Source organism: Homo sapiens, chromosome 6 (genome assembly GCF_000001405.40).
Source record: "Homo sapiens chromosome 6, GRCh38.p14 Primary Assembly".
NCBI classification, from domain to species: Eukaryota; Metazoa; Chordata; class Mammalia; order Primates; family Hominidae; genus Homo; species Homo sapiens.
In genome coordinates this window covers 1,893,419-1,910,605 of record NC_000006.12, presented here as the reverse complement: position 1 = coordinate 1,910,605, position 17,187 = coordinate 1,893,419, and the positions used below count along the sequence as shown (strand labels likewise).

The window sequence follows — 17,187 nt, the reverse complement described above, 5'->3', positions numbered from 1 at the left end:
CCTACAATCACTTCACCGTTCCAAATCTTACTTTCCTTCTATTCAAAGGGAGGGGGCTGGAGTTCAACACAGGTTAAGATTTAGAAACTGAGAATATGGAATCATCTTTTGAACACTTTTTCCGTACAGCAGTATTTACCATCTAGTATAAACTTTATGTTGTTTTTAAATATATCTGCTAACAGAACGTAGTGTTCTGTGACACAGATTATGATTTTGTGTTTTAACATTGTACAATCCCTCAGTGAAACAAATTATTTATAAAGCCCAGTATCATCTTCTTTTTTTTTTCAGTTTCATTTATTATTCTGAGCTTAAGCTAAGCTAACATCTTTTTTTTTTTTTAAACATACCAGGACAAAAAATACTATAGAAAGTGCTACCTGATAGAAATAAAATTCAAGCTATACATGCATGCCATATGTTATATAATTTTAAATTTTCAGTGATTATTACACTATAAAAAGTAAAAATGTAACATTAATTTTAAGAATATTTTTAAGTCAATAAATCCCAAATATTAAGCATGTAAAAAATATTAAAAAATTATTGAGACATTTTACATTCCTTTTTCTGTACGACGTCTTCAAAATCCAGTGTACATTTTATACTTCACAGCACACCTCATCTCAGATGAGCCACAGTTCAGGCCTCTGGATCTTGATCGGGAGTTTGCTTTCTTATACACGGAATCCCATATTTAAAAACCACTGTTCTTAACTACGGTTATGGAATCCTGAAGAGGGGCAGCGGTGAGAAAAGAAAATCTGGATGCTTCTGTGATGCCATCTTGATGGATAAGCACTGTATCACTTTCATTGTGGTGATCATGTGACCCTCGCCTTGTGCCTACTGACTCACCCATGGGGCCATAGCCATGCCGTCCCTGCATGTGGAAGGAGTAAGCAGAAGACTCTTCTCAGTCTTCTCCCCAGAGGGAGAGTCTTCAGGGAGGTTTTGGAGTGGCTGTAGCCAGCATCACACACGGATGGACACATTTTACCTTCTAGAATACAGATTGTCCTTGGAGAAAAGCAACCACACAAGAATCACCCTCAGTGACTACTGGGCCCCACTCAAAAGGAGGGCAGCTTACACTCACAGCAAGATCCTGTTGCAACCCGGAGAATCCCAGGATTTCTAAAGTAAAGGACCTAAGAAAGCATCTGGTTGTTGACATAGGATTAACCAAAGAACATAGTCTATACTTTTGGGTCTTTGATTTGTACTAGGCAGAGTCTTTGTACCTGTTCTTTTAAGCAGGTAATTCACAAGTAGGCAGAACCTAAATTGTCAAGTGGGAATTTTGAAAAAACTTTACTCAAGTGCCTCGGCTTCAGACTAAGAATTAATTTCATCATGGAGAGCAGTTTAGCTGCACCTTTCTCTGGGGTTTATCTCACTTAATTCACCAAACTTTACTTGTTCCAAAAACCGTAAAGTCTTTGTTTGAAAGGCATTTCATCAAGATGTATGATATGCTCTTTTTATTCCTAGTGGCAGCAATACAAATAAATTAAACGTTTATAACTTGACCGGTGTGACTAATATCCTGCGTTTTCTGGTGGATACCCTGTCATTCTTTCATCTACGTAGCCTTTTTTCCCCTGGGAATCTCAAAGTCTTTTTGTCTGAACTGGTTGGTTATAGGCATGCTAATTACAGAGATGTGGATGGTGTAACCCCCCTCCAGCTAAAATGGCTTGCCTTTAGGGTCAGCCGTGAGTCAGGTGCAGACCTGGGATCTTAACGCAGAACTCTTGATTTTTTAATTTCTGCTCTAATCTTTAGCTACATAAACATATGAAGAAACTGACTACAGCAGATTATTCCAATACATGTCCAGCTGTCTGAGCAAACAGCCGTAGGGAAGAGCTTACCTCTCACCTCTCTTGGAATCATCAAGCCTTCGAGCAGCAGTTCCTGCCTTATGGTGCCATGTGTGTGTCTGAGGATCAGAGGAATGATAAGAAGTCAAGAGGAAGGGAGGATGGCTGAGTAGAGTGATGCACTTTCTATGCCTCTTTATTAACTGGAATGATGAAATTAAAATTATGCCACTTTTATTGAGGTTTGTAGCATAGCCCAAATTTAAAGAAAATTTTGATTCAAGAAAATATCTTTTGCCAAGAGACTTTCAGAACAAAATTGGTCTACATTTGTAAACTACTTGGGACAGAGAAACATTAGTTTAAGCTTTTAAGTGAAAAATATAAGAAAAGGAACCTACAAAGAATGGTACGGTAGCCCCCTCCTATCCGCAGTTTCACTCTCCACGGTTTCACCTGTCCGCAGTCAACCGTGATCTGAAAATATTAAATGGGAAATTACAGAAATAATTCATAAGTTTTAAATCGTGCACCTTTCTGAGTAGCATGATGAAATCTCACACCATCCCACTTCGTTCTGCCCGGACGTGAACCATTCCTTTGTCCGGTGGATCCCCACTGTCGATGTTCCCCACCCATTAGTCTCTTAGTAGCCTCCTTGGTTATCAGATTGACTGTTGAAGTATTGTAGTGTTTGTGTTCACTGAATCCTTACTTTACCTAATAATGGCCCCATGGTGCAAGCGTTTTGATGCTGGCATATTGTTATCATTGTTCTATTATTAGTTCTTGTTGTTAAGCTCTTACTGTGTCTAATTTTTAAACGATTTATCGTGGATATGTATGCATGGGAAAAAACATCGTGTGTGTACGGTTTGGTATTTGCAATTTCAGGTATCCACCGGGGACTTTGGAACATCTCCCACAGATAAGAGGGGAGAACTGTATAGTTCATTTATTGGCCAGTTATTGTCTCTTTTATATGGACATGCAACTTATGTTTATAACCCTATATTCCCTTAAAATTCTGTGCTTTTGTAAAATGTGTACCAGCTCAGGAGGCTCACCTGCCTCCCATGGAAGCAGGCTTTCATGCTTGCTCTGTGTCCGACTGACTTCGTAACATTAAATGTGTCACTGATGGTTGCTTTAGGAAATTATTTGCCTGGGAAAAGAAATACACCATGTCATAAAACAGAGAGTTCACCTATGTTAGTGAGATGATACCTTCAAAGGTGGAACATTTCTAGAAGGGTTCCTGTCCTGTCACTTCCCTTGTTTCAATACTGTATTGGCCCAAGGTAGGTATTGGTTTGGGATTTCTTAAACAAAACTTCTTTTTAAATATTTTTAGAAAGTTGCTTTTATTCAGAGGTCTCAGTATCTTGCTTTGTGCCAAGTTTGTTTTGTTGGCTTAAATTATGTTAAAATTCAGCTTTGAAAATCAGTACATGGGACCGTGGGGTGCTTGATTTGCTGAAACCCATCCACCAGTTTCTCATCTTCCCCTCATCTGTCATGTGGAGCTTTAGAGTATCAGAGTCTATGCGTGTTGAGTTCAAGTTGATACACATACACTGACACGTGCATGCCAAGCCATCTTCCCCATAAGCCAGTTGTCAAATGGGTAGAGAGATTACACATGCGAAACAGCAAATAATGTTAGAGTGTGTGCTTGCAGACACAAATATATATGCCTGTGAGACAATGACAGAAAAATAAGGAATCCTGGAAGCATACAGACTGACAGTTTTGCAGTGCATCTGAGTTCTCACCCTCCATGGTCTGGGAGAGGAACATGTGCCATCCACCCTTGCCTCCTCTCGGAGGCTGGGGCTGTGTGCAGGGAGCCCCTACGGTGGGTTCTCTGCCCATTTCCTGCTATGTAAAGTGTTATTAGGGAATGAATGGCTGGTGAAAAGGACCTTGCAGCCTGTGCTTTGAGTAGCCTGGGACCGTTGGGAACAGCCGCTTCTGTCTGTGTGATCCGAAGATAGCTCCCAGATGGGAGAGCTCCTACTCCTTTCCTTGTCCTCCCTCCCTGCCCTCTAGCACAAAAGCTTTTGGAACTGCAGGAAACCCCCTGGCTTGCAAACCCAGGACCCGTAGGCTTCACAGGTCTTGTGAATGGCCAGCATTTTGGGCTTCACACCCCACTAACCTCTTGAGAATTTCTTTGAAAAACTAGAGTATCATAGAGATGTGAAAAGAGTTTGATTTCTAAAATCAGTGAGTGCATGTATTCAGATAACCTAGGTTTAAAAAAGGCAATAAAAATTAAAATCTGCTGACTGCAATGACAGAATAATTGCATTTTATTGTGCAAATATCTAATTTGACCCAGGTTATTTTACTTAACAGCAATTAGTGTTTTGGTGTGGGCTAAATAGTACCTGAGAATCCCTAGGATTGTGTTAGTTTCATGGTGCAAAGGCTCACTGCACATTTGGAACTGGCTTACTGAGTCCTGGCACCCCAGCTCTCAATGCTGGCACTTGACTATTTGCAGGAATGGGGAACTGACCACCCACAGAATGGCTTATATGCATATGTAGGATGGCTTATATACATATATACATATGCCATGCAGCCAGCTTTGAAATGTGATAGCACTTCTCTGAGGTCCCTAATGTGCTGCTCAACCTTTAAGACTAATCAACAAAGCTAACAGTTACAGTAATACTTGTCACAAGCATCACTTATTTGGTAGTTTCATGTAAAGATCATTGTATCGTTTTTTGGAACAGCTGTTCTGTGTGGATCTGTGAAGAAAGTCTCGGTGGGTACTTTCCATTTCCATTTGAGCATGTCAGATGGCTTGGACTCAACAGCCACCTGGGCGCTCCTTCTCAGGGACACCTGCATACGTGTTCCCAGATGGCCTATGGGGTTATTGTCACATGCCAGCACCCACAGCTATGTGCTGGCCCCACATGCAGATGCACAGGTACCTTTGAGGTCCCACCTACAAGCCAGCACCCACAGCTATGTGCTGGCCCCACATGCAGATGCACAGGTACCTTTGAGGTCCCACCTACACGCCAGCACCCATAGCTATGTGCTGGCCCCACATGCAGATGCACAGGTACCTTTGAGGCCCCACCTACACGCCAGCACCCACAGCTATGTGCTGGCCCCACATGCAGATGCACAGGTACCTTTGAGGTCCCACCTACACACCAACACCCACAGCTATGTGCTGGCCCCACATGCAGATGCACAGGCACCTTTGAGGTCCAACCTACACGCCAGCACCCACAGCTATGTGCTGGCCCCACATGCAGATGCACAGGCACCTTTTAGGCCCCACCTACACGCCAGCACCCATAGCTATGTGCTGGCCCCACATGCAGATGCACAGGCACCTTTGAGGTCCCACCTACACGCCAGCACCCACAGCTATGTGCTGGCCCCACATGCAGATGCACAGGCACCTTTGAGGTCCCACCTACACGCCAGCACCCACAGCTATGTGCTGGCCCCACATGCAGATGCACAGGCACCTTTGAGGCCCCACCTCTAATGACACCGGCCAGTGCCCTCGGCACCAGGGGTGAGGCCCAGTGTGGAAGAGCTTTGCAAGGCTTTCCCCTGGACCTCACAGCTGCCCTGAGAATAAGTGCTCGCTGCCCAAAGGAGGCATCGCTTGGTTAAGTAGCTTGCACAGAGCACATGCAGGTAAGTCGCTGGGATGGAGTTTGGATCTCATGTCATGGATGCCAGAGCTTGTGCTGTTCTTACTTGCTTGGGCCATGCTACCTCTATCCATCTTTTCTGCCCTTATCCCCTTTCTTCTGCTTCCCCTCTTCTTTGTTTTGCAACACATTTTTCCTACCATTATCTCCCTTTTAAGGAACTTAACGTTGCCTCTGAGAATTGTTGACGTTGCCCTTTGTCAACCATGTGACACTGGGGACAGGTCCATCTCATGCACTCCTTCTGCCACCCCCAAGGAGGGAACAGGGCTTTGTCAGCAGTCAAAGCTGCTGTGCTGGGGGCTCCTGGCTATGTGCGAGGCATCATGCTAGGCCCAGTGAAGCCTGCAGTGAGGTATTAAGTGGGCACCACCCTGAGCCCTAACTTGGCCAACAGGAAGGTACTGCGCATTGCTGGTGTGGGAGCCGGCGAGTCACTGTTCTGACAACCCACGCTCAAGGACACAGCAGTGAGCACAGCACTCTACTATCGGCTCTGTCAGGAAAGCCTGGCCGGAAAGGAAACAAATTCGTTCGTTAAATGGACTGACCCTTTTGTCTTTGCTTAATGGAGTAACTTTGCCTTCTTTTGACTTATTCTGTCTGCCTGCAAAAAGGAAATCTGCTCTCATTTAATGGACTATCAGTTGTTGGTGTTGCCGAGGAGGGGGCAGTCCTCCTGGCCTTTGCTCTCAGGAAGGACAGACGGCCACACAGAGCAGCCCCCGAATGCAAATGAGAGTCCTGATTAACAGTAAGGCCCCCAGGGTTTCCTCCTTTTCCCAGAGATAAGGCTGGGGCTTCCTACCCTGCCACAATCAGCCAACTGTTTCAGGAGCCATTTTCTCTCCTCTGTGATTACATTTATTTTGTCTGGTACAATTTCGTGTTATTTAAATCTTAGGGTTTTAAAATGGCTTTCTCAGAAGCCATTCTCTTCTGAACCGCTTGTCCCGTGCCCCTGGAAGTCTGGAGGGCCTGTCCTGACATCACGTGCTCAACATTCAACAGCGCTTTTCTGTTCCAAGCTTGCCTTCCTCCCCTAAGCTGAAATAAATCAAAGTTGGTTGGGACTCAGTCGCAATAAATCAAGACCTGTCCAGAACTGGAGCCTGCCCAGTCAAAATGTCATAGCTTGGCTTTCACTGAGGATTAATTAAAGGCCTAATATAAAGCCCAGATGTGCTTCAGGAGAGTAGCAAGCTGCCTGGTGGCTGCATCTCCCCAGGTTCCTGCCCACCCAAGAATATGGAGGAGGACAGAAAGGCATCCAGGGTTGGGAGGGCACTGAGGGGAGGGAGGCGCCCGTAAGCACATCTGAGTGAACTTTATCTAGTTTGGAGAAAACAGGACAAGCTTTCCAGCAAGGCAAGAAGAAAAATCTATGTCAGACTGTGTGTGTACAGTATTTAAAGGGAAGGAACATGTAATATATCAGAAGGTGTGCTTTAATTGAGGAGACAAAAGAAAATGAACCAAGTAAAGAGGTTTCATTGTTTTAAAAAAATGCAGTGAGATTTATGCCTGGTTCCTGCTGAACCTGTAAATTGTTTAGAGCAGAGAAGCTGTGTAGATGAAATGCTTTTGAGATATTTTTATTCACAGAAAGTTGAATTAGACGAGAATAGCTTTTGGATTAGGACTTATCCAGGTCTTCCTTTAGTTCCACACAATTCCATGTACTCAACAAAAGGGTGCCTAATTAAATTCCGATTGAAGAAATTCATATGAAAAGCAATGTGCAACATTAATTCTCCGTATGTGCAAAGTACTGCATTTGAAGTAGGAAACAAGAAAGTGTATAATTCAAAACCCTATATCGTGATCATATTATATGACTTTAAAGTTAAATTTTACCACTATTTGTAGAAATTTGATTCTGAAGTTGGGAAAAGAAGACATCATCAAAGACTAATAAATCCACAATCTTTTTTTGTGGTAATGTGTATACTTTCCTTCCCTGAATATCTGTAAATCAGCTATGTAGAAACTTTGTAAATAAAACAAAGTGAATCTCCTGATTGCTGTGCAATTTATAATAGACACATTTGATGCAAATAATTGGAATCTTTTGATAGATATAAATAGGCTTTTTGTGACTAGGAGGGCTTGCTATTATACAGCCTATCTTTATATTAACATTAAGCTTTTATCCATGGAAAATTCAACTTTCCCCAGAAGATGTTACTTCCTCACAATGTTATATTGATGTTTAAATTCTAGACCTGAAAATTTTGTTAATAAACAATAGTTTATGTGCTGAACAGATTTAAGAAAAATATTATGGTTTAATTTGAGTGATCAGAGTGTTTTTACCTGTTATTTGACCCAGATATTTAAATGTACAATCATATTTACTTGTAAGGAATTTTTAGAAGTCCACTGGCCTTTTAATAGTGACATTGTGAGTCGTCATATATAGCGTCTTACTATTTTTTTATCCTATATTCACCTTATCTTGTGGTTGAAGTATCAATTTAAATGAATTTTAACATAGCTGTGCGATATCCCAGAAACAGGAATTTCACCTATTTTCCAGATGTGCTACACATTTCTATTGAGATTACTGAGGACTGGTAGATCATTTTGGGTTATTAAGGATCTAGCAGCATGATACTTTGTTTTTTAAGGCCTTTCCTCTAGGACCCTTTACTTATTTTAGTCAGTAATCTAGAAAAAATAATTTACTACAAATTTACATTTCCATTAGTTCAGATAATTTATGTTTTTAGAAGGGTTTCTGTGTCATGCTTTATTACTTAGTCCATAAATAACTTTTGTATTTACCATTGCCTTTTATTCTATATTTTAGTTTTAATAACATCAAGTGAGAATGAATGGCCTAGGACAATGTGTCTCCAGAATGAGGACTAGATTTTAAGAGCAAGGAAATTTAGATAAATAAGCTTGCCCCATTGCCGATTTTAAATACTCTTGCATACTTAATTCTCAATGTGCAGAATTAATTACACACTTCTAGAACTTTGAGCCAGTTGGCATTTGGTAAATGGCACAGCGTATGTGATATTTCACCCCAGATTTTCGCATCCATTAGGTTGTTCTTTTGTATTTTAATTTTGAAGTATTTTCGTGTTTAAATAAAGCTGTATCCTTTACCATTGCGCAGAAGTCATCTGAGCACCCACAGTAGCCCTTTTCCCTGTCTCCCCTCTGTGTGTGTGGTCTCCATAGCAGTAACTGATTACTTATTGTTTATGTGTTTCCCTATTCAGATGGATGACTGGTTTGTTAAGGGCAAGAATGCATGTTTCATTTTGTTTCTTCAGCGTCTAACTTAGTAACAAGCACATAGGATGAGCTCAGTATACACTGAATGAGCAAAGGCTGGCCTGTGTCTTTTCAGACTAGTTAGGGACAGTTTGGTGAGTCATTGCCATGACATATCAAAGGCCACAGTAGAGTTCTCTGAGCTTCAAAAAAAAAGCCTTGTGGGAAAGAGCAACAAAATTCTCCTAGCATATAAGAATTTTTGGAAAATGTGTTAACTCTTTGTATTTGGATCCCTTTTATTTTGTGGAAACCATAATATGGGGTCTTCAACTGATCTGAAGGAGTTACTGCAATTCCTTAAAATAGGTGGCCTGACCTCCTAATAGAATCTTTTTCATTATATATTTTTTCTTTTCTATGTTTTTTTTGTTACAATGGGATGAAAAGCTGACTTAACAGACCTAATGTAGTTTTGATCAATGTGAGCAAGAACATCTCGTTACCAAGCCCAAGTAGTAACACGTTGTTAAAATTCAGAAAAGGCTGACTTTAAGAGCTTGCCATAGTCAACATCAGAATTATGTTCCACGGTCGTGGAGAGAAACGTATCGTAATTAGCACAGGCCATCTCTGTAGCCCGGAATATTGGGCACCATGTGGCGACTCCAGGCATGCTTGCCCCCAGGAGCTGAGAGCCGGGAGCCACGGAACCAGGGAGCCACATCTAAAAGGCTCACTGGAAAGCAGGTGCAGGCACCCAAGGGCTGCTTACGCTCTGCTACCAGCGCTTCGCCGTTCTCTGACGTGGATGGTTGCTGAAGACATGCCTTTCTTGCTAGTAAATGTATTAGGAAGTGGCCTGGGAAGGAAAAAGTTGCAGCATAACTACTTTCTCCCTTGCGTGGTAGTGAGTTAGCGCGACATGTTGGCATAACTGAGTCGTCTGAAACACTGTGAGTGATATCATCGAGAGTGCTTTTTTGCAGTTAAGGGAACATACATTTTCAAAGTATAACATTTTAGACTAGAAGGTACACTTAGAAATTGTCTACTCTGATTAGATGTGGAAATGAAGACTGAAATAAGTCACTGATTTATCCAGTGTCGGAGAGCCAGAATGAAGTAAAATGACCCAGCAGCTTCTCTGGCTACTGGTTTTTCCTTTTCACTATGCCAAACTGTCTCTTCTTGTCACATTATTTGAAAGATTAGTAGAAGTTGGCCATAAAACTTCATGACTAGTTTCTGAAAATACATCAAGCCATGTGCTTGTGATATGTGTACTTTTTAATTTGTATATTATACTTCAGTAGAAGTTATCTTAAAAACTTCATGATTTATGAAATTTGACATCAGACTTAACAGCAGGGGCTCTTTATCAACACATTTTTAATCGTAATAAAGGCTTAGGTCTTAAAGTTGAAGTGGTTATAAAAAGATGGATTTCATTGGTGCTTGTGTGTTATGTGCTAGCATATCAGACATTTTAAAATTTTTTCCTGCACGCATTGTTGACGGTGTTCACTGTAGACTCTGCATGATAACGCCTCAGATTGTGAAATTTTAGCAGCATCTGCTCAGGAGCTGCCTCTACCTGCGTGGCCATCCACACCTACCTCTATGTTGGAACTCCATGGAGGTCACCCCACAACCCTAGTTTCTCCCCGTCCAATGAAGAAGGCTCCAGAGCGATGCCTCTGACCCAGATAAGGCTCCCTGCTCCTCCAAGCTTGACTTTCTAGGGAAGGGACAGTTCATGTAGAAAATAGAGTGACTTAAGCCTTGAACGTTGACTCAGAGTGTGTAGGCAGATGTGTGGACTTTTCAGCAGCTAACAACACGGTGCCCTGTGGAAGGTCTCCACGTGGCCTTAGAGTGGCGACTGTGTTCTCTTTAGTGTGTAGGCAGATGTGTGGACTTTCTTCAGCAGCTAACGACAGGGTGCCCTGTCGCAGGTCTCCACGTGGCCTTAGAGTGGCGACTGTGTTCTCTTTAGTGTGTAGGCAGATGTGTGGACTTTCTTCAGCAGCTAACGACAGGGTGCCCTGTTGCAGGTCTCCACGGGGCCTTAGAGTGGCGACTGTGTTCTCTTTGCTCTACTCCTTCACTGCCAAATTCCAAATGATGCAGCGTTTCATAAAGATTAGGTCATGTTTACAAAACAGTGTGAGCTAAGTTTCCACTGAAGCCTTAGGAGATTGTTTTTTGGCTTTGAAATGTAATATTTTTTATAGTGAACTTATTAAAACTACTACTTTCTTCCATAATCTCCTGGAATGGCCCACCGGCTTTCTCTCTTGGTTCATTGCAGCTATAGCACCAGGCTTTCTTGACGAAGGTCTTCTCTCTTGAACGGAGTCTACTCCTTAAAAAGTTCCATGGGTCACCTTTATTCCACTTTGCCATATCAAGCATTGTAACTGCTACTCACTTTAGTCCCCTTAGCCAGGACGCGTGGGGACCACGGTCTTACATTTTCTCCTAGTAATAAAGTTAGATATTACTAATTATGCCAGTGCATTCTGATGGATCAAAGCATGCAGGAAAAAAAAAAAACACAAATCAAAACAAACACTGATAACATTTAAATCTGACATTCTAAGTAAGATTGGAGAAGAAAAATAACACCATAAATGACTATCTAATTATTTACCATGTGCCTGGTGTGTTCACAAGAGATATCTTACCAGCTCCCCAGACAGACGGGCAGGATGGATGGAGAAAAGGAGGAAGAGGGAGAGAGGAAAGCAGGAAGAAAGGAAGCTTTCTTTCTAACTTTATTCTCCCATTGCCACTTCTATTATTCTTAGCACAGAGGAGCATTTATAAGGCAGGCGAAAGCTCATGAAGCACTGTTATGTACATTATTTCATTTCCTTTTATGACATTTATCGCCGTTGTAATTAATTCATTATTTGTGTAATCCATGATGTTCTTTATTGTTGGCTGTAAGTTCCGTTAGGGCAGGAGCCCCGTCAGTCCTGTTCATTGGAAATCCCCAGCCACTGGCACACTTTCTGGCCCAGCATAGGTGGGAAGGAATATCTCTTAGATCAATACACGCTGGGATTTGATTCTCACAGCACCTTCCTTTAGAGTGTCATCTCCCCGCAGGAAGTTGTTCTGATCCCCCATATTACATTGGCATCTCATTCCCAAGCTTGCATTGGATCCTGTTTTTTATTTTGTAACTGACAGGACACTTGTGGTTAGTTGTTCAAAGTCTTTCTTCCATGCTAGACTGTGAGGTCAGGAGGGCTTGACTGGTGTGCAATTTTTCACTGCTGCGCCCCTACAGACTTAGGAACTGGTAAATGCCCTCCAAACAAGGAGGGTGGAAACTATTATTTTGCCCATATTATAGAAAAGGAGGTTGGACCCTAGGAAGCGAATGGGCTGACTGTAATCACATCACTTGTATGAAACATACTGGCACCAGAGCTGTCTATACCTGCAAGCATGAGTTTCCTCATCTTAAAGAGACTCAACTAGGCAGTTTCTAAGGTATCTTGCAATTCTGATTTTTAAATTGCCAAATAATTTTATTTAGAAGGTGATTTTCTTTAGCAAAATTTAGTAAGTTTTATGATGGCCTGAAGCCAGGGGAAAGGCCTCCAGGGTCTCTTCCGGGGTGGGATTTGCCACCCAGTGGAGAACCCTGAGCAGAAGAGGGTAAGGGAGGCCAGGGTAGGTGTCCAGGATGGCAAGGGAGGCCAGGGTAGGTGTCCAGGATGGCAAGGGAGGCCAGGATAGGTGTCCAGGATGGCAAGGGAGGCCAGGGTAGGTGTCCAGGATGGCAAGGGAGGCCAGGGTAGGTGTCCAGGATGGCAAGGGAGGCCAGGGTAGGTGTCCAGGATGGCAAGGGAGGCCAGGGTAGGTGTCCAGGATGGCAAGGGTGGCCAGGATAGGTGTCCAGGATGGCAAGGGTGGCCGTGGAGTAGATCCAGCCTGTGGGACTCATTAGATAACCTCAGTTATCAGGAGCTTCTTTTGCATGAAAGGCTGTCTAGGGATCATTCAGCATTGGACAGGTCATGTCGAGGGATGAAAAGAGGTTGGTTAATGAGTACGTACATAGAGGTAGCTAGAAGAAATAAGTTCTAGTGTTTGATTGCACAGTAGAATAACTATTGTTAAGAATAATTTATCGTGTATTTCAAAGTAGCTAAAAGAGAAATGAGATGCTCCCAACTCAGAGAACTGATAAATGTTTGAGGTAAAGAACATTCTTGGCCACTCATTTTCAGTCTTTATTACAAACTTTGTTTCTTCAGATTGTCCCTTAAATATTGGCAAGATATACAATTTGTCCAGGTCCCAAAGCTAGAGGAGACAGAACCTGGACTCCACGCAATTTAACCATGCTCTCAACCCCACATTAAGCTCCCTTTCCAGGATGCCATCCTCAGCCTCTGCTATGGGCTGAATTTTGCCACCTAACCCCAACCAAAATTCAGATGTTGAAATGCTAACCCCCAGTACCTCAGAATGTGACCGTATTTGGAGATAAGTTATTTAAACAGGTGATTAATTTAAAATGACCATTAGGGTAGGGACCTATCCAATAGGACTGGTGTCCTCATGAGAAGAGGAAGAGACCCCAGGAGTACGTGCACACTGAGGAAAGGCCATGTGAGGACACAGGGAAAAGGCAGCCATCAGGCAGCCAAGATGAGGCTTCAGGAGAAACCAAACCTGTGGCGTCTTGATCTTGGATTTCCAGTCTGTGGTGCAGCAGGTACAGCAGCCCTAACCAGCTAAGCAGCCTTCGCCTCCCTTGTCCAGACCTCTTTGTTCACCTGCTGCTCCTCCCGAATCTCCCACCTTTGTTGATATGAGCTCCATGTACATTGTTGTCTTTGCCCCAAAACTGGGAAATCAGCCTAGAGTCCTGCCCTCGTCTTCCCTACAACACCAACAGTGAGCCCTGTCCTTCCCAGAGACATCAGTCAAATCCCTGTCTCCCTGTTCATCCCTATTATATCACCTGTGATTTGTAACCTTGTTATCTTAACCGGAAAAAGACTCCCAGTCAGTCTGTCTGCAGTGTAGACGCTTGATGGCACTTGTGTTTGTCAATCACACTTTGATGGGACAGAGTCTACACCACCATCCAGAAGGTAATCCTGCCCATGTATTCCTTTGTTCAGATTTCTTCACGATGAAATCTAACTTTGATACAACCCCTGCAGCACACCAACACCTTCATGATCTGACTCTGCTCCCGCCTCACATGGGTCCTGCCTCACATGGCCCTCACCTGACACCCCCTCTCCTCCCAGCACCGAGCCCCCTTCCCCGCTGTCAGATTCCCCGGATTTGTCAGTCGTCTATACTTTCTTACATGCTTTCCCCACGTTCTGAAGTCACCTTCTCCTTTGCCCATTTGTCCACTCTAGTTCCCGCCAGACTTTGAGGTCCTTCGTGTGAGGACTTTGTCCTTCCCTCTTGTTATTCTCACCACTTGTTTGCAGTAAGTTCCTCAAGAATGTTATGGAGTAAATAAACAAACATGTCCCAAAGGCCTTAGCTCAGTGCTTCTCTAAAGGCAGCAATCTTGCCCCCAGGGAACGTTTCCAATGTCTGGCGACAGTTTTTAGGGGGAGTGCACATATCTAATGGGTTGAGGCCGAGGATGCTGCTGAACATCCTCCGATACACAGGGCAACAATGAATGGTCCAAGCTAAAAGGCCAGTAGTGCCAAGTTTGAGAAACTCTGCCTTAGCTCCAGCCCTTACATAATCATCCTCAAGCCAAGCTCTCTGCTCCCCCAATCTGCTTGTGCCTTTATTGGAGCCCTTAGGAAATTCCTCTTTTTCCTTTTCCATATTCTTCATTAGATTGTGCTCCTGGAGGTCAGGAACGATGAATCACTCAGCTTTGTAGCTTCAGTGCCTGCACTGTGGCTCGGTAAGTAATAGTTGAGTAGAAGAATGGATAGGGAAAGAAAGGAGTAGGAGAAGAAGCTGATGGCATATTTCACCGCTTTATGTTTTAAACTTAGGTCAGCTCTGGATCTGTCTCTGTATCTGGTGGTTCTGGTTAGAAACAAAGAGAGGGGCCAAGTGGTGAGTAAACTGAGAACTATGTACAAAACCTATTGGGCAGGATACTAGTTTCAAACTGACAGGGCATAACTGGCGTGCATGTTCATTTTGTTACACATTTCTATTTGATAATGACCAGAGTTTACATAGAAGGTGGGAAGAATAATCATGTAAAGCACGTCTGTTCAATAAAAGATTCTTTAGTGATAGAAATGTTCTTTATCAGTGCTGTTCAATACAGTATCCCTGGCCACACATGTGTATTGAGCACTTGAGTGTGGCCTATGCACATGAAGAGCTCAGTTTTTAATTGTATCATTTTAATTGATATTATCTTAAATGGTCATATGTGGTCACTGGTTACCTTAGTGGGCAATGCATAGCTGAAGTCTGTTTTTTGGCTGACCCCACTACACATGATAGCTTGGCAGTGTTTTGTTAAGCTTACTATAGTTCATTTTGACCAGAGGAAGATAACACAAAGGTTTAAAAGAAAATGCAGCGGAGAAACGGTTCATCTTTCCAAGAAACCCTAGTGTTCTGAGTCACATCATGAGTAAATGGTGGACGGAAGGCAGGTTTAGCTGGGCAGTCATCAAAAATCATGAAGGGCAAGCAAGCCAGGTACCACACCCTCAGGCACTCCCCAAACTCGTTGCCCATCGGATAAAGTTAGTCCAAGTGCCAACTCCTGCCACAACAATGCCTTATAAGGACTCTTAAATCCTGTCTGACCTTTGAACAGGTTCAGAGTGTGCTGTGTTCAAATGGGAAGGAATATAAAGTAATTCTAGAAGATATCCAACCGGTTGATAAATTGTAGACCCTAAAGGGGGAAAAAGAACATCTTTTGTCTGGAATTTACTTTGAGGGGATGTGATTTTTGAGGGTAAGATTTTCAGTAGGTAATAAAGTAAAATCCCGTACCTCAACTAATAACTATTTCCTAAATGTCTGTTGCTTTAATCTTAGTGTCTATAGACAATGGGGCCATACCTAAGAGTACTTTTAGATTTAACCTCCAAACTCCATGGAGCTCAGTCTTTTGTATAAAACAGAATTTTTTAAAAAAATGATTGTATTACCATCCCATTTCTCTATAATGCTTTTGACAAAATATCCTGTGGTACTTGATTTACATTTATTCCCTTACTGGATATCTGATTGTGGAAATTAAAAAATAGGTATAACATCTCACTCTCTATGTAATAAGACACATTTAGGTGAAAATGAGATAAACGGGTGCTCTCACTTTGAAACTGTAAAGAAAGCACTAAACAGCATTTAAGATATTTAATACCAGTATTCATTATTGTTCTCTTAATGTTTTAATATTATGAAATGTTTTAATATTAAAATTAGGTGGTTACTTAAGGAAGGAATAATTTTCCATAACACTGTCCTAATAAATACCCCTATAATATAAAACATAAAATAAATACCTATAACACAAAATATGAAATATACGTCTAGTATAAAGGACTTTTTGCTTGTAACTACACCATCATTCTTCCATTGGAATTCCCCATAGCTTTTCTTAGAGTGGCAGTAAGATCAGATTAGAAGTGTGAGTAAAATATTATTGCAATCAATTAAAGCATTAGGCTCATAAATTGATCAATAACTTTTTGAGAACATGATAGGTCGTGATTTCATTTTGTTGAAGAAAAATGTGATAGCTAAGATGAAAAGACATGTTTATTTTTGTGTCAGGTGTTCTGTGATTAGTTAATTAAATATTTTCATCAGTTCCGGTGACCTCTTGTCTCTCAGCTGCATATTGACTTTCCCAACTGTGCCTTCCATCCTTCTGGCTGCAGTAAGAGAAACCAGATTTTCCTCAGCCCCTCCAGGCTCTTTCTTATCTAACTCAGGAGCGCCTCCTGCCAGCGGGGCTGGGCAAAGAACAGACCCAGAGGTCTCCATTTTTGTAAAAAGGTTCATGGCAGGTCGGTTATTTTTCAGTATATTTTTTAAAGGCGTGGTTGAGCTAATTTAATTTCTTCTGTTCATTAATTTCTCTCCTTTCACCTCCACCCCCTCTGAATAAACGGCCCTTCACACGAGTCCAGTGTAGCTTCAATACACCTTATTCACACTGCCTTTTATTGCAGCTGCATTCCAGCCAGCTGGAGGTGGCCTGGCTGCCTCAGCTTTCCCGATTTAGCTCTGGAAATGACTTCAGCATGGCAAAAACGTTTCACTGGCCAATTTGGAAAACAGGATTCAATTTGTGAAGAAAGCTCAAAATGGCAACTGAGAATGAAAAAGAGGATGGAGAAGGTTGCGGCAGCAAAGCAGTAAGGGAACAGAGATGGGCCGGGTGCAGTGGCTCACACCTGTAATCCCAGCACTTTGGGAGGCAGGCGGATCACCTAATGTCA

The 17,187-nt window shown here is 42.4% G+C and overlaps 1 protein-coding gene across 8 annotated transcripts in view; it reads left to right on the top strand.

Moving 5' to 3' along the window:
• Window positions 1–17,187, top strand: part of GMDS (GDP-mannose 4,6-dehydratase) — a 621,800-nt gene that overhangs the window by 335,000 nt on the left and 269,613 nt on the right. Inside the window, exon 8 of one of the 8 annotated variants that reach the window (XM_006715066.4) lies at window positions 619–1,535. The exons of the other annotated variants lie outside the window; for them this stretch is intronic. Within the exon in view, the coding sequence (XP_006715129.1) occupies window positions 619–720 (102 nt within the window). The 3' untranslated portion in view covers window positions 721–1,535. Of the gene's footprint in view, window positions 1–618; window positions 1,536–17,187 lie in introns of those variants that run through there. 8 annotated transcript variants of the gene reach the window in all.